Source organism: Homo sapiens, chromosome 7, assembly GCF_000001405.40.
Source record: "Homo sapiens chromosome 7, GRCh38.p14 Primary Assembly".
NCBI lineage: Eukaryota > Metazoa > Chordata > Mammalia > Primates > Hominidae > Homo > Homo sapiens.
Genome location: NC_000007.14, coordinates 33,025,427 through 33,043,808, shown reverse-complemented (window position 1 = coordinate 33,043,808; position 18,382 = coordinate 33,025,427). Strand labels below are relative to the sequence as shown.

The following is an 18,382-nucleotide window of genomic DNA, read 5'->3' as shown; positions in this document are numbered from 1 at the left end:
ACCCCACCAGTCCCACTATCTCACTCCCACCCCACTCCTACCACATACACACTGGGTGGAATTAAAAAGATGAAGTTCCTTATGGACAGGAAGCGACATCCATATTCCCTCTCTTCTCTGTTCTCCTTAGAATCAGACTAGCAGGACAGGCACACACACCAGCAGAGCCCAAACCACCTACCCTTAGAGACCAACACTCCTCTTGATAAGATACCAGCCATCTTTTCATGCCATAAAGTGTTTTGTTTTGGAGCCGACAAAGCTGGCTGGATTCCTTGCTTCTGTGTCTCCATTAGAAACATTGTTTCAGACAATCCAACTATATGATGTTGACTGGGTTTTTAACTTTATTTTCTGATTATGGACATGATGGGTGCTACTCCTATGACGTTTTTAACACGCTATTTAAATTTCCCAAGGAGCACATTTATTTTCTAAAACTCAGGTTGTAAAAATGGCCCCTTAATGTCATTACAAATACTGTCTTATGTATTCTATTTTAAACTTTCCTATACTTGTATAAAGATTTTTCCTTCTCAAATTGGACTCTTGCTGTAGATATTATAACTTTTTTCAATCAGTAGTAGACCATATGTCTGTAAATACTCAGCTCATGGAGCAGTACTGTGCAGTGATCTGAAACATGGATTCTGAAGTTAGAGAGAACTGAGTTAGAATCCATTTCTGCCGCTTATCAAGTATAAGGCTTAATTTGCCCACCAGTAAATTGAAAATAATACTAGCACATACCTTCTAGGGTTGTTTATAAGTATTATATGAGACAAGGAATGTCAAGTGCTTAGAGGCATCTGGCACATAGTAAACACAATACATTTTAGCTATTCATAATAATCATTTTTAAGAGCAGTATAATTTTATATTTTCTGTATGTATCACAGCTTATTCACCTCTTCTGTATTAGTGAACATTTGAATATTGGCCATTTAGGTTGTTTCAAGTTTCCCAGAATTATAAAACAAATTTGCAGTATACGTCCTGGCAGCTAAAGTTTTGTGTACTGCCTAATTTCTTTAGGAAAAATTTCTAGACACAAAATTGATGTGTCAAAGGGAATGTATATTTCTAATGCTTTTAATAGTATTTCTAAATTGCACTCCAAAAAGATTGTAGAACTATCATTTCAATATTCTTGGTTGTTGAAAGTGATCTGTGAATCATCTTTCAAAGTGATGTATTTTAAATTCTTACCATTGTCAACTCTAATAATATTAAAGTACATTTAAGTCATCATTTTCATACATAATACAGAAATATTTTAGAAATGGAGCCCTTTGTGGCCCTTGAGTCTTCATTACTGATTAGAGATAATAGGCTGTCCTCTTAGAGGAGTGTTTCATTATGAATTTTATTATTTTATTTAAATAAGATAGCAGTGTCAAAGGTTTCACGTTTGGTAGATACAAATTTGGATAGTTTTGTTTTTTGTTTTTTTGGGGTTTTTTTGTTTTTTGTTTTTTTTGAGACAGTTTTGCTCTTGTTGCCTGGGCTGGAGTGCAGTGGCGCAATCTCAGCTCACTGCAACCTCCGCCTCCTGGGTTCAAGTGATTCTCCTACCCTGAGTAGCTGGGATTACAGGTGCCTGCCACCAGGCCCGGCTAATTTTTTGTATTTTTGGTAGAGATGGGGTTTCATCATGTTAGCCAGGTTGGTCTCGAACTCCTGACCTCAGGTGATCCACCCGCCTAGGCTTCCCAAAGTGCAGGGATTACAGGCATGAGCCACCACACCCAGCCTGGATAGTTTTTTAACACCATTTTTAACAGCAATTTAAAATTTTTTTCATGTTGTTTTTAATAGAGAACGATACTTCACAAAATTTGATTACTGAAATATTACTAGACTAGATTTCTCTGAGGACAGTAGAGAGAAAGCCGATAATAAAAATTTATTTACATAAGTGTAGTGTAGCCATGTTCCCTAATGATAAAGGTTCCCACAGCCCATGGCATAACTTATCTATCAGGTCCTGACACATGGTATTAGCATATTGCCACCCTACTACTCAGGTTAAAAGCAAGACTAGTTCTCTTTTAAAAAAAAAAATTTTTTTTTCTTCATGACAGTTGGACTGCTCTTATTTTTAACAGGCAGGAACTTTTTCCCCCCATTTTTAAAAACAGAAATTAATTTTTATTTTCAGATTTTATGGCTGGTCTTATTAAAAGTATAAGAAAATATAAAAATTACTTTAAATCCCACTGCCCTTTGATAAAGACTATTAACAGTTTTTTGACCACATTTGCATATATCATGTCTTTTTGTTTATGGACTTTAAGTGAGCTAATCTTTTTTTTAATAGTGGTAAAATATACATAATATAAATCGTACCATTTAAACCATTTTTAAGCATTTCATTTGGTGGCATTAAGTACATCTACACTACCGTGCAACCATAACCACTGTCCACTCCAGAACTCTTTTCATCTTCTAAAACTGAAACTCTATCCATTGAGCAATAATTCCCCATCCTCCTCCTCCAGCCCTGGCAACAGCAACCTAATCTTTTTAACTTTGTATTAAAATAGAATATACAGAAAAGTTCACATATCAGAAGTACACTGACAAACCACTGACAAACCAGGTGGAAAGGAATGTTTTTAAGTGTTAGTGTAGAGGTTCCTCTTTTCTTTCCAGAGCCAGTTGCCAGTTCTAATAGTACAGATTTACCTTCTCTTTAATCGTCACATAACTTCAATTGATAATGTTATGTAGATTGACTTGTGACTAGCTCAGAGCTAGCGAGGCTGTAACCAAGAGCATATATAAAGTACTGTGCAGCAGTGCGTCACAAGGTTTTTGCATAGGGCTTAGTCAAGGCTTTTGGAACCGCCCTCAGTTGCACCTTGTGCTATATTAGTACTTCTCAGACAGGAAGAATTTTCTTTTGCTGGTGTAGCTCGTCCGGTTACCTTCAGGGTAAGTGTGTACGGTTCATGTAAATGAGTTTCTCTTGTCTAACTTTATGTGATTCTTATTTGATTCTATAACTTACTGAAATTTTGGGCATTTTGAAATACAAACTTAGGAAATAAAATAATGTTCCAGTATAATGCAAAACTTCTTTATAATTTGTGAAGAAATGAATGTGCAAAACTTTGAAGAGTCTTAGGTCTCAGAAATTACATTTTATATGTTCTAATTTTAAGAGCTTCTTGTTTCACCTGTAGATGTTGAGAAAAAGCAAAGTACCTTCAGAAGTCTCTTTCCAGGTTGAGGGGAAACACTCTAAGATTCAATTTGGTTGTTCATTCAGTTGGCTATGTGACTCAGTTTTACTGACAGCCACAAGCTTTGTGTTACTAGGATTAGGAACAGTTATTATGGGTAGTAATAAAGATTATCAATTTTTATTTTGTGCATGTGAGCTTTACCCAGGATTTTATAGAATGGGATTATCACTGGTATGTTTTATGAATTGATAAAAGCTAGATTACTGATTTATAACAAATTATATATTGAAAATTAAGATTCAAAAATTTATATTACAGTAAAAGCCTAGAATATTATGGCTAAGTTATATTTAAATAATTGAATTATCTATATTTTATAGGTTTTTTTTTCCTTTAAATCAGAGAAGTTAGATCATGCTGCAGATCATTTCTTAAAGCAGTTTGCTTAGTTTTTATTGGCAGCCTGCATCCAAGCCCGGCATCTCTGGGTAGTGCTTGTCACCTATGCTGTTGTCCTAGGACAAATTCAAGGACAGAAGAACTCAGGGTGTCTTAAGGGTTGTCAGTATAAATTACTTAGTTTCCATGTGCTGTATGTGGTTTACTTATCTTGAAAAAATGCTATTAGATATTAGAGGTAGTGAATGTGGGAAGGATAGAGGAATAAATTCTAAACATTGAAATTGTTTATTTGCATAAATATCCACAAAATTCTGACTCAGTAGCTGCTTTACCATTTGGGAAAATTGGTTAAAATTGCCCATTTTTAAATAACTAGCTTTTGAAATCTGTTTTTTCCTCTTTCCTCCTATATCTCTTCTACCCCTCCCACTCTTTGCTATTTAGTTTCATTTTTGTTTTATGCCTGTATTGAGAAAGTTTCACTTTGCAGCGTGTGTGTTTCTTTTTCCCCACCGCTGAGTTGAAAATCTAATTAGGAAGAATTATTTAAATGCCCCACCAAATTATTACAGCCATACAGAAAAGATGAAGTTACAGTTTGATTTTGCATGTGCTAATCACCCGAAGACAGTAACATTAAAAAAAAAAAAAAACAAAAAACCCAAGCTTAAGAAAGTCAAATAGTACAGGTTACTGAAAAAGTATAGGAAAAATTGATGTTTGGTACTGTTGCGGATACTGTGTCCATATTATGGTAATATATGCCTTTTCTTATGTGAGTAATACACAGTTTAGCATTCACAATTTTATTACCTTATCAATGTAGTTTACATGTTTCTGCGAGTATCACAATTAAAGCAGTCACAGTTTTTAAAGCTATATTCATGAATTTAATCTTTTTCACTTTCCTGTAAGACAGAGTCAAGTAGACCTTTAAAAGTAATCAGTTTGCATTCAGGTACTTTAAGACTTGCTTTAAATCAGGTAATTTTTTTTCATGTAGACATACCAATCAATTTTCATTAATTGACTTGTAAACTATCATCAGAATGAAATACTGTGATAACTAAAGTTTTCAGTTATCAAGTTTGTGTTAAGTGAAGTTCTTACCTCTTGCTTCAGTCTTTAGACTTGTCCTACATATTCCTTGTAAAGAACTCTGCTATAGTAGAGACCTTAATCTCATACAAAAAGCACACAAAGTAATTATTTTCCAGTTTCCACATTTTCCAGTTCACATTTAAAGACTCTGAAGACTTAAAATGTTAAAACTTCCTTTGAAGAGAGTTCGTAGATCAAGGGCAGTATTTTCTATTTTTGAACACGTCTTCTACACTTGATGTGTTTTTTCCAGCAACTCTTCTCTTGAAGCATCTGCAACAGATGACCATTGGCAAAGTAAGCCAGAACTTTATATACCAGGTATAGGTTTACAAGCCTATTGGTTTAAAAATACTCTGCCCTAATTTTCAGTGTCTTCCTTAGAATAGTGCCAGAATGCTGACATTTTACACCTGAGTCTTTACACTTTTTAAATGATAAGACCTTAGAGTAATTTTTGTATAAGGACTGCAGTATCACTTTATGTGAGATTATCTTTGAACAAAGATAAATTCTGGTCAGATTGCTAGTGAGGACTGGCAAGAATGAAAGATCTTTAGTTGAAATTTGCATAGTATTCATGAATTGTTGGTATACTTACCAAAAAAAAAAAAAAGGTCCTAAAGTTGGCCATCAAATTTCTTATCACTCTTTGTTTTTATTTGATGAGACCATGAGAAAGATGATCATTCTTTTACCAACTTATACTGACTTTTTTCCCCTTTAAACTCAAAATGTATGTTCCAAAAAGAGCCATACTTCAGAGGTAGAGAATAAAGAGGATTTCTACTACCTGAATGTGTAACAAAAAGATCTTAGATTCCTAGATATTAAAATGTGTTTAATTCTTCACTGTGTGAATTGTTTGCCCTTGGGCTTTTCAAATGTTTCACAGATTATGCGGTATTTTTGTAAACTCTACAGTACTTTTCCACAGTCTCCACACTATTCCTTTTTTTCAAGCTAATGAGATAGTTTTATTTAAATAGTGCTCTTTGAGAAATCTAGACTGCTTTTCACATATTAAACATCAAAGAAAAGCTGTAAGCATTTAATAATTAGGCTTTGATTGCTATGAATGAAGAAATAGACTTGCATGCAGCTTCTATAATATCTTGTTTGTTAAAAATCTGGATGACTGTGACAGAAAAAAGTTAGACCAAGGAAAGTCTACTTAAACTTGACTATAATCATCTAAGCTAAAGACTACTAATCCCCAAACTACCATTATATTTTGAGGGTGGTGATCAAATGTTTTATGAGTTATATAGTGTATGTGTGTATATATATAGCTGTACAAAGATATATACACATACACATCTTTATATCGATATATATACACACACTCATACTGCAGATACATTCTTTTTCAGATGTGAAAAATTGCAAGTTATCATCTTACTGTTTGGAAATCGTGTTTACTCAATTCTAAGATGCCGTCAATTATGAGACTATCAACTTACTAGCAGGCTTTCTGAGAGAGGGAGAAAAAGACATTTTGTAATTTCATGGACTTAAAATGGAAGGGAGTAGGGACCGAATTTTAGAATTTGAGAAAATTTGATATATCTGCTATAACACCTTTTAATTATAAAGAACACAGATCTAATGTCCAACTTATATTACTAGAGTTTAAGAAAAAGTCAGATATGTTCTCGCTTTCAACTAAGTTGCCATTTTTAAATAGTGCTTTAATTATAAAATTTTACTTATCTGAAATAAAGTAAAAGTAAAGTCATTATGGAACAAACATAGCTTAGTAATTTTCCCTAAGATTTATACTACCAACACAGCAACAACCAAAAATCTTAGAATAATGATGAGAGATGTTTTAAAAACTGGTTCCTTTTGTTTGATGAACAGATATATTTAAACTTCACCCAGACCCTAAAAGGTTCATTCAGTTGATAAACACTCTCACATACCTATTTTGTGCTAGACACAATGCTCGATTCAAATACAGCTCATGTCTTAGTCATATCATATTAAAAAATTAAAGATTTTAGGCCGGGCGCAGTGGCTCATGCCTGTAATCCCAGCACTTTGGGAGGCAGAGGCGGGTGGATCACGAGGTCAGGAGATCGAGGCCATCCTGGCCAACATGGTGAAACCCCATCTCTACTAAAAATACAAAAATTAACCAGGCGTGGCGGCATGCGCCTGTAATCCCAGCTACTTGGGAGGCTGAGGCAGGAGAATCACTTGAACCCGGGAATCAGAGGTTGCAGTGAGCTGAGATCATGCCACTGCACTCCAGCCTGGCAACAGAGCAAGACTGCATCTCAAAAAAAATAAAAATAAAAAATAAAAAAATAAAAATAAAATTTTAATGTAAGAAAATTGAAGGAAAAAATGGACTTTTGTGTTATGTCTTCCCTTACTTTGTTCTGTCTGTATATTCCTATATTGATTCGGTAGTAGCAATGCATAATTTTCCCACAAACTTCATCCTTACATGTAGAGAAAGTGTTGATAAAATATTCTTGCAATAAAGTGCTCTTTGCAAATATGTACTTCATTTTCACTGTTTATTCAATTTTCTTAATACCATATAAGTTCTTACAGGAGAGCTTCAGATTCTCCATACAAAATGGTTAATCTAAAACTATGCTGGATAGAGTAAAACCCTTGCTGAGCTTCTTAGAAAAAAAAAAAAGATGCTTTATGTGTCAAATATAGGCTATGTTAAATCATAGCAAAGCCTTTTGCCTCATTGCACTCCCGAAAGCAAGATGGGTCACCAGCAGCCCTACTGGAGCCACCCACGGAAGCTGGGCCAGGGTTCTCACTCTTGTCACATCTGCCCAAACCAGCATAGTCTGATCTGGAAACACGGCCTCAATATGTGCCGCCGGTGTTTCCATCAGTATGCAAAGGACATAGGTTTCATTGAGTTGGACTAAGTGATCTTCCTTGAATGGATTATCCAAGGCATCCACCCAATGAAAGAAACCATGTTAGTTCTTTGTACATAAAATAAACATTTTTAAAAAACAAAATAAATAAGTCATACCAAAAATTCCACCTTAATATATTATTGGCATAACAGGAAGAACCTGAAATTTATGTATGTCACGTGTACTTTTTTTTTTCTCTTTTGCTGTGACATCACCTGGGAAAATCCAGAAGATTGGATAACCAAGAAATGACTAATCAAGAGTCTGCCGTACATGTGAAAATGGTGGGTATTTGCCTATTTCCAGTTCCATTTATTAATGGTAAATCTTCACCACTTTTACCTCTGTCTCTAACCAGATAATTATGGGACTGAAATTTTATACAACTCTTTCTTCACAGTGCATCACAAAATAAACCTCAAATACTTATTGAATTGAATTTCAAATTATCTTTAAAATGTTTTTGCTTGAAATCTAATGCACATTGTCGTGCTTCTCAGAATATAAAATGTTTCCCCATTCCTTTTTACGCTAAATTTTCTTTGCTCAGCAATAACACACTTAAATCGTACAGTGTGAAATACATTATTGTAGGTTTCCAAATTTAAATGACAAGCATTCAGAAATTTTTAAAATACTTACTTGCATGACAATAGAGTTGCATTATATATACTAGGATGAGATAGGAAATGTACAGGCTTTGGAGTCAGAACTGGCTTCGTATCTTAACTCATTCCGGCCGGGTGCCTGTAATCCCAGCACTTTGGGAGGCCGAGGCGGGCGGATCACCAGGTCAGGAGATCGAGACCATCCTGGCTAATACAGTGAAACCCCATCTCTACTAAAAATACAAAAAATTAGCCGGGCATGGTAACAAGCTCCTGTAGTCCCAGCTGCTCTGGAGGCTGAGGCAGGAGGATGGCTTGAACCCAGGAGGCGAAGGTTGCAGTGAGCCAAGATTGCGCCACTGCACTCCAGCCTGGGCGACAGAGCGAGATTCCGTCTCAAAAAAAAAAAAAAAAAAAAAACTCATTCCTTATTAGCTTCTATAGCCCTGAATGAGAGCAGTAATCTTACCTTTAAGAAATGGGTGTGAAACCGCCAACTATGTGTTATTATTCATACTCAGTGAAAACGTCAAGTTCCTAGTAACCCCAGATTAAGCATTCATTAAATATTGATCTACTCTATTACGTTAGTGAGTGTTTTAACTGTGTAACTGGCATATTTATTTGCATGTGTGGAAAGAAATTACATCTGTTCTCCATATTCACAGTGATAAAATCTTAAAAACAACAATTAAAAATAATCCTTTCTTTTAAAGAGAACAACTGCCTCATGATCTCTTGTTTTCTCTTTGTGTTCTTATTATTGTTGTGCCTCCTCTTCTGTTCCATTTATTTTTTCAGCTTTCTCTTTCTCTCTAGCTTTTTTCTGGCCTATAAACTAGAGCGTGACACAGCATTTTGTCACGCTTAATAAATCTCTTGTTCATCTTTCCCCCAACCAGTGTAGGATCAAAGGTGAAAGTTGACTCAAAATGGTGATTAAGTCATCGTCAGTTTAGTTATTGCTCTTAGGTTGAAGCGTATGAAATTGTTTTTATATGTCAAATATAGTCCAGTATTGCCAGTTTTATATGGTTCAACCTAATAACAGCTCTTTCTATCCATTGAAGGATTGGCACTTGATTCATTGGAATTGAGCATATCTCTTTGATACATAGAATTAAACCAGTCTAAAACTTATTTTCTTGTTTGGGTTGACTTTTTTTTTAACTTACGTGAACACAAGCAGTATAGGAATTCCCTGACATATAAACAATGTTAATCCTCTTTGTATAATGTTGTTACTTGGGTCCTAGAGCCCTCTAGAAGGTGTTTGTGGAGGCAAGTAGCAGTGTATTCACTCCACAGTTATTCAGACTGTTGAAGGAAAACAAGCCAAAAGATTTTTTTTAACTATTATTGCATTAATTTACACAATTTTTACCTTGGGTTTGCTTTCCTAAAAATATTGATAGGTCTGGCCGGGCGCGGTGGCTCACGCCTGTAATCCCAGCACTTTGAGAGGCCGAGGTGGGCAGATCATGAGGTCAGGAGATCGAGACCATCCTGGCTAACATGGTGAAACCCCGTCCCTACTAAAAATACAAAAAAATTATCCAGGCGTGGTGGCGGGCACCTGTAGTCCCAGCTACTCGGGAGGCTGAGGCAGGAGAATGGCATGAACCCAGGAGGCGGAGCTTGCAGTGAGCTGAGAGGCGCCACTGCACTCCAATCTGGGCGACAATGCGAGACTCCCTCTCAAAAAAAAAAAAAATTATATATATATATATATGTCTTTTATATTGACAACTTTATAGCATGTTATTCTTTACTTCTCATGAACAGGATTCAGATCTCTCTGTCCAGACTTTTTACATGCACACTTCTCTGTGTACACTCAAGTTCTATACAAACAGAGCTATTTCTCTTTTTCCCATATTAGACCCTGCACTTTGATTCCTCCCTAATCTCAGCATATCTAAATCCTGTTTCTCTTCCAGAGCCTACCTCTGTTGGCTCTTCCTCCTTTGACCCCAGAAGAAGAAATCTTTGTTTCTTCTATTCCTTTTACATTTTATCTGGACATCTTGGCAATGTATTAATTATTTGGGTTTCTATTTTTTAATCCACATTAGAGAATATGCACCTTGAGTGTAAGATTTATATTTTATATATCTCTTACAGAGCGGCTTCACACACTGTCTTATACTTAATATGTGGTGAAGGAATGAAAGAATTTGGCCTACACTATCTTAATGTAGAAACAGACCAAATATGTAATAAGCAAGGGAAATCGCTATTACTAAAATTTAGTAGTGCATAATCTTCCAAATAAATCTGAGAATCATCTATGTGTGGGGGTAAATGTACCAGTTTGAATAGGTGGCTTTAAATCTATACTTTCTGTGTAGCTGGATAAAAACTCTAGTGCCTACTTCTTTGTACCACTGCAGTAATGAAGTCTTTTGTTGCTACCAAATATAAACAATGGAAAACCAAGAAAGAATATTTCTCTGAGAACATCTGACTGGAATTTCTTAAGTGATTCAAACTAATTTTTATGTGGGCTATTTCCAGAAAAATGTAGGATAATACTAAGGTGATTTAAAATTCACTGAGGCTGGGCACTGTGGCTCATGCCTGTAATCCCAGCATTTTGGGAGGCCAAGGCAAGAGGATCGCTTGAGCTCAGGAGTTTGAGACCAGCCTGGGCAACATAGTGAGACCCGTCTCTACAAAAATTAAAAAAATACCTGGGCATAGTGGCAGATGGCTGTAGTCCCAGCTACTCTGGAGGCTAAGGTGGGAGGATCTATTGAGCCCAGGAGGTCAAGTCTGCAGTGAGCTGTGATCACGCTACTGCACTCCATCCTGGGTGACAGAGTGAGACCTTGTCTCAAAAATTTTAAAATAGGTCAGGTGCAGTGGCTGATGCCTGTAATCCCAACACTTTGGGATGCTGAGGCAGGCAGATTGCTTGAGTCCAGGAGTTCAAGACCAGCCTGGGCAACACTACAAAACCCTGTTTCTACAAAAAAATGCAAAAATTAGCCGAGGGTGGTGGTGAGCCCCTGTAGTCCCAGTTACTTGAGAGTCTGAGGTGGGGGGATCACCTGAGCCCAGGAGGGAAAGTTGCAGTGAGCCAAGATCACGCCACTGCCCTCCAGCCTGGGTGACAGAGCAAGACCCTGCCTCAAAAAATAAAAATAAAAAAACATAAAAGTAAATTTTTTTTTTTTTTTTTTTGGAGACCGAGTCTCACTCTGTCACCCAGGCTTGGAGTGCAGTGGCGAAATCCTGGCTCACTGCAACCTCCGCCTCCTGGGTTCAAGCAATTCTCTTGCCTCAGCCTCCCAAGTAACAGGGTTACAGGTGTATGCCACCATGCCCAGCTAATTTTGTATATTTAGTAGAGATGGGGTTTCACCATGTTACCCAGGCTGATCTCGAACTCCCGACCTCTGGTGATCTGCCTGCCTTGGCCTCCCAAAGTGCTGGTATTAGAGGCATGAGCCACTGTGCCTGGCCTTTTTTTGTTTGTTTTTGAGACAGAGTCTCGCTCTGTCACTTGGGCTAGAGTGTAGTGGTGCCATCTCGGCTCACTGCAACCTCTGCCTCCCGGGTTCAAGCGATTCTCCTGTCTCACCCTCCAGAGTAGCTGGGATTACAGGCATGTGCTACCATGCCCAGCTAATTTTTGTATTTTTAATAGAGACAGGGTTTCACTATGTTGGCCAGGCTGGTCTTGAACTCCTGACCTTAGGTGATCCACTGGCCTTGGCCTCCCTAAGTGCTGGGATTCCAGGCGTCAGCCACCGTGCCCGGCCAAAAATAAATTTTAAAAATAATAAATAAATGAAACTCATATAGATGAACATACATATTTATAAATTAAAAGTACAAGTAATTTTTTTAGTCTTGGTTAAAATATGAATTGTTTTCTCTGTACATTGTGGATTGTATAACCCTTAGTTTATTTTGTTTTTTATTTTTAGTTTAAGAATAATAATTCATTATTTTAAATATAATGTATTTATGTGTGTTTTTTAATACAAAATCTTTTTATTTATTTATTTTTTTTTTGAGACAGGGTCTCACTGTGTCACCCAGGCTGGAGTGCAGTGGCATGATGTCAGCTCACTGCAACCTCTGCCTCCCAGGCTCAGGCAATCCTCCCACCTTAGCCTCCGAGTATCTGGGACTACAGATGTGCACCACCATGCCCGGCTAATTTTTGTATTGTTTGTAGAGACAGGGTTTTGCCACGTTGCCCAGCCTGGTCTCGAGCTGCTGAGCCCAAGTGATCCTCCTGCCTCGGCCTCCTAAAGTGCTGGGATTACAGGCATGAGCCACCATGCCCGGCCGTGTTTTCTTTTTTAATCAAAATTTAATATAATTTGAAATCTAGTTCAAACAGAATTAAACTTTGAAGTTGTCATAATCTCATCCTGGAAATTAGGATTATCCCTAGTCTGGAATATTATCATTGGATTGATGATACCAAGCCACACCCAGAAATTTGGTAACTGTACTATGGAGCTTCTCTCTTTTTTTTTTTTTTTGTTTTTTTTTGAGGCAGAGTCTCGCTGTCGCCCAGGCTGGAGTGCAGTGGCGCGATCTCGGCTCACTGCAGGCTCCGCCCCCCGGGGTTCATGCCATTCTCCTGCCTCAGCCTCCAGAGTAGCTGGGCCTACAGGCGCCCGCCACCTCGCCTGGCTAATTTTTTGTATTTTTAGTAGAGACAGGGTTTCACCGTGTTAGCCAGGATGGTCTCGATCTCCTGACCTCGTGATCCGCCCGCCTCAGCCTCCCAAAGTGCTGGGATTACAGGCCTGAGCCACCACGCCTGGCCAGAGCTTCACATTTTTATCTTATCCCAGTGTATCCACAAGATCATATCAAATCTAATATTAAACAATTGAGTTGTGGATAAAATGGCATAACTTTGAAATCCATTTCATCTCTATAAATATATTAAGTATTGGTCAAAATAAGTGAATTTTAGGTCTTTCTTAATCATTTTTGGTGTTGATTCAGATTGGCATCAATCAACCAACATACCCTGATTCTTTTCAGGAAGGCATTGCTCCCTCCCCAACATTTTACGCTGCGGCTTTACCATAAAATGAATTTGTTCTCTTTTTATCACAAATGATGGAAATTTTTAGCTTCTTATTTATTTTTCATAAAATTTTATCATAATCAAATTGAAAATTTTTCAGACAATTCAAAATACCTTGCCCTTCAAATTTGAAGTATCATTATTTATATGCCACCAAACCAAGTCTGTGTTTTTATAAGAGGGATATAGACAGAAGGACTTTGTGGAGGTAACAAAAGTATGTGATCTCATGCAACAGTTGGGGCATGTTCAACAACAACCACCACAACAAAAAGTATGTGATGTATTTCATCATACTTCTACAGTGTGCTTATATTATGATACTCTTTGACATATTCCATACAGGAGTCTTTGATTCTCTTTCTTAGGCTATATTGTAAAGTATTTGAGTAAAATACCCCATATCTCAAGTTCTTGTGAAGTATTTCTCATATAGATCAGTGACATTAATTGTGTATTGCAGGAGAGGAGTATAGTATACTATATAACCCAAGACAGATAGAATGGTCATTTTTATATTTCTTATACCTATTTCATCATTATTTTACTCCCGTGCCATTTGTGTATTCACTACTTATGAATACACAATGAAAATGAATGGTTGTATGTTGCACAGGAGCCACCAATGCCTTTAGCTACTGGTTCTCTTTCATCCATTGTGATTTAAAGTAAACCAGTATTGGCTGGGCATGGTGGCTTACACCTGTAATCCCAGCACTTTGGGAGGCTGAAGCGGGGAGATCACTTGAGCCCAGGAGTTTGAGACCAGCCTGGGAAACACAGCAAGACCTTATCTCTATAAAAATAAAATAAACCAATCTTACATTTGTTAGTGTAGCAGAAACCAGCCTTCTTCGAAGTGGTCTTGGTGTGATTCTCCTATCCGTTATCAAAAACTTGAAGCTGTGATTTGCCTGAGGTAAGACATCTTGGGTACACTGAAATCAAATATTTAATTTTTTTGGTGAAAAAATAGTCTATGATATATATCCTGTGTTGCTTTCACCATAATGGATTGGTTATTGAATCAAACATATGCTGATTGCTGTGCATCTGCCAGTTAAGGCTGAGGTAAGAACAGAAATTAGTTGTCAAGAGATAAACTTACTAGCTGAGGTATTTGTAAGGGAGTTACAGAAGTGATATTCCAAAACAGCAGTGGTCCCTAAAACTCAGCAGAAAAGCAGAGTAAATACTACTCATCATCATATCCCTAGCATTTAGCAAGAGTGTGTGGCACAAAGTAGACACATGGTAAATATTGGTTAGGCGAGTGAATGGGTTAATGTATGAAAAAAAAAAATAGGAACCAGTGCCTATCTGCCTTTCCATCTATTGAAAAATCACTATAAAATACATAGATAACCTTTAAGCCATTGAAACTCATCCAGTTGAGTTAAAAGGATTACTACATCAAGGTTAGTTGCATTGCAGGTCATCCTACTTAAATATGGCTTTTTAAAATTAAATATATTGTAGGTGGTAGATCTTTCATCCATGGAGAAAATTTTAATGTTAGCATTTGTCTTTTCTCTACACTTTCTTTTTTTTTTCAAGCTCTGCCTCCCGGGTTTACGCCATTCTCCTGCCTCAGCCTCCCAACTAGCTGGGACTACAGGCACCCGCCACCACGCCCAGCTAATTTTTTATGTTTTCAGTAGAGACAGTATTTCACCATGTTAGCCAGGATGGTCTCGATCTCCTGACCTCGTGATCTGCCCACCTCGACCTCCTGAAGTGCTGGGATTACAGGCGTGAGCCACTGTGCCCGGCCTCTTTCCTCTACACTTTCGTTATCATCTTCCAGTCTTTGGAAGACAGTCCATCCTTTTTCTGATTTTTCTACTCTTGCCCATTATGTAGGAACAACACGGCATCTGATAGATTTACGTGGTGAGATTCTCTTGTAGCAAAGATAGAAGGTCCAGGGAATTTTTGTAACCATGTCCATGACACACATGAACTATGTTAATATTACTAATAACATACCCAGAATAAAAACATATAAATAAAGATTATCCAGTACAAACCAGTATAGAACTTGGATTTGAGGTACTATTATTGCCTATGCTGTATAACTGACTATAAAATGAGGCATAATTTTCTCCTTCTAGTTGTATTGTACATGTGCTATGAGAGCTTGTACTGATTTTTCCTCTAATCAGTTTCATTCTATTTGTGATAAAATAGCTAGTAACAAGAAATAATACTTAAGATTAAATTGTTGAGCAACCCTAAAGTCTTCATAACTCTGTAGTAGCAGCCTACACCCATTTTTTAAGATGGGTCTTGCTGTGTTGCCCAGGCTGGTCTCAAACTCCTGGGCTCCAGTGATCGTCAGCTTCCAAGTAGCTGGGATTACAGGCATGTGCCACTGTGCCTGGCACAATACTTTTTGGCAGTTATCTCCATTTGAAATAAATCTATTGTAAAATGTGTGCCAAGAACAGTATATTATTTGGAAAATAGTACAATAAAAAGAGCAAAGATCTTGAAGCAGCTTTTCAAATTTAAAATATTTTAAATGTATTTTAATTATACAAAGACAAACTTTTGGGGGAATAATTGTGATAATTGCTTCCTTTCTGCTCAGGAACATTTTAAAATATAAATATGTAGGCAAGCTAAATGTATGTATTAATTCATAAAAGCCAGATGCAAAAGTATATAATGAGGATGAGCTAAAACTATATGCGTATATATGCATGTTTCAGAGGGATATGCTGAAGGTATTATATTAGTATTAGGGTGGAAGTTTAGTTACTGTATTATATAAAATGGAGGCTTAACGGGAGTCATCTTAAGATTTTTAGAAAAATTAATCAATCGAGGGGTAGCTGCTGGGGTATTCATGGTTAAAATATGATTTCTGGGCTCTCTGGATTGCATCACAACCCAGAAATGAAACTAATAGAAAATCACAGAAATGAAACTAATAGAAAATAAATTTAAATGTTACTTGTTTATCTTCACGTAGTTGAACTCCAGGCAGTTTTTATTGTCTTTTTTATATTTTTACTGTTATTTCTGTGGTAAGCGTGCATTGCTTTTATACTTAGAAAAAGATATATACTTTCTGATAAAGCAATTGAATCACAAATGTAGTTTTATCTTACTCTGTAGCTGGAAAATACTGATAAGTTTTAAGTATTTTTGTGTGTATAAATGGTAATGTGGGAGCTGGGCTTGGTGTCCCACACTTTTAATCCCAGGACTTTGGAAGGCCAAGATGGGAGGATTGCTTGAGGCCAGGAGTTCAAGATCAGCCTGAGCAACAAAGCAAGACCTCACTCACTTCTACAGAAAATTTTAAAAATTAGCTGGGTATGATGGCGCATGCCTTCTACCTACTCAGGAGGCTGAGATGGGAGGATCATTTGAGCCCAGGAGTTTGAGGCTACGGTGAGCTAGGATTGTGCCACTGCACTCCAGCCGGGGTGACAAAACAAGACCTCATCTCTAAAAAAGTAATAACAAAATAAATAAACGGTAATTTGATGTGGTGGCTTGCTTTTTAAAAATAATGCCTTAATATTTTTATGTCTTTAAATAAGACAGGTTTCTGCTTGGTATCAAAGGAACCTGGGGAAAGAAGAATGAAAACTAATTAATTAATTTTCTTTTACTTTTAGATGCCAGAATTCCAGAAAAGTTCAGTTCGAATCAAGAACCCTACAAGAGTAGAAGAAATTATCTGTGGTCTTATCAAAGGAGGAGCTGCCAAACTTCAGGTGAATAATTATCAAGAAGCCTTGGCTGTGTGTGTTGGCTCATGCCTGTAATTCCAGCACTTTGGGAGACTGAAGCAGGAGGATCACTTGAGCCCAGGAGTTCGAGACCAGCCTGGGCAACATAGTGAGACCCCATCTCTATTTAAAAAAAAAAAAAAATGGCCGGGCATAGTGGCTCACACCTGTAATCCTAGCACTTTGGGAGGCCGAGGCGGGTGGACAAGGCTGAGGTCAGGAGTTCGAGACCAGCCTGGCCAACATGGTGAAACTCTGTCTCTACTAAAAAATACAAAAATTAGCCGGGCCTGGTGGCGCATGCCTGTAATCCCAGCTACTTGGGAGGCTGAGGCAGGCTAATCACTTAACCCCGGGAGGCGGAGTTTGCAATGAGTTGAGATCATGCCACTGCACTCCAAAAATAAAAGCTTAATAATAAAGGCTTCTTTTTTTTTTTTTTTTTTTTCTTTTGAGATGGAGTCTCGCTCTGTTGCCCAGCCTGGAGTGCAGTGGCGCAATCCTGGCTCACTGCAACCTGCTCCTCCTGGGTTCAGGCGATTTTCGTACCTCCGCCTCCCCGAGCAGCTGGGATTACAGGTGCCAGCCACCACAACCAGCTAATTTTTTTGTTTTTTGAGACTGAGTATTACTCTGTTGCTCAGGCTGGAGTGCAGTGGCACGATCTCAGCTCACTGCAACCTCTGCTTCCCGGTTCAAGCAGTTTTCCCTCCTCAGCTTCCAGAGCAGCTGGGATTACAGGTGCCTGCCACCACACCCAGCTAATTTTTATATTTTTAGTAGAGACAGGGTTTCGCCATGTTGGCCAGGCTGGTCTCAAACTCCTGGCCTCAAGTGATCCATCCACCTCGGCCTCCCAAAGTGCTGGGATTACAGGCGTGAGCCATCATGGCCCAGCCTTATTTTATTTTTAATGTTAAAGCCGACTCATTCATCTCCTGTTTGATAAAATCTGAGTACAGCAAGTTTAGGTAGACAGTTTTTGCCTATCCTTTAGGAATATAAAATCCAGAAAATATATATCTTGAGTTGTTCTAAAACAGACAGAATACCCTATTGGAAAAACAAAAGTTAATAATCCTGAAATACTCTTAAGTTTTTATTAGTCTTAAGTAAGAAGCTAACTCATGCTGTGTACAAGCATTAAACCATTTTAAGGATAATATTTAAAAGTGTTTAGTTTTATGCTGCTCTTTCATGTTTTAATCATAGTAGTTCAGATTAAGATACAGCCTTATTAAGGGGATAATTGAGTTTTTAAAAAGTTGTCTCTGTTTTAAAGGAATGTGTTACATGTAAATTAAATCAACAATCTGGATATTCTGTAAAAAAAAAAATTATTCCTTTTTTAAAACATTTCTGAAAAATAATATTT

At 37.4% G+C, this 18,382-nt stretch overlaps 1 protein-coding gene and 1 pseudogene across 11 annotated transcripts in view, besides 1 other annotated feature; both read left to right on the top strand.

Annotated features, from left to right (window-relative positions):
• Positions 1–18,382, top strand: part of NT5C3A (5'-nucleotidase, cytosolic IIIA) — a 48,664-nt gene that overhangs the window by 18,968 nt on the left and 11,314 nt on the right. For 2 of the 11 annotated variants that reach the window (NM_001374338.1, NM_001002010.5), the window contains exon 2: positions 16,894–16,992. The exons of 1 other annotated variant lie outside the window; for it this stretch is intronic. In NM_001374338.1, the coding sequence (NP_001361267.1) occupies positions 16,894–16,992 (99 nt within the window). Of the gene's footprint in view, positions 1–2,902; positions 2,938–7,820; positions 7,876–14,094; positions 14,181–16,893; positions 16,993–18,382 lie in introns of those variants that run through there. 8 more of the 11 variants (NM_001166118.3, NM_001356996.3, NM_001374336.1 and 5 more) reach the window with 8 other exon arrangements.
• Positions 2,782–2,881: a silencer, noted in NCBI's record as "silent region_18085". NCBI's record gives its function as "represses an Ori minimal core promoter by ATAC-STARR-seq in GM12878 lymphoblastoid cells {active_cell/tissue: GM12878}" and the evidence as "EXISTENCE:reporter gene assay evidence [ECO:0000049][PMID:35858748]".
• RPS29P14 (ribosomal protein S29 pseudogene 14) lies at positions 7,427–7,597 on the top strand (annotated as a pseudogene).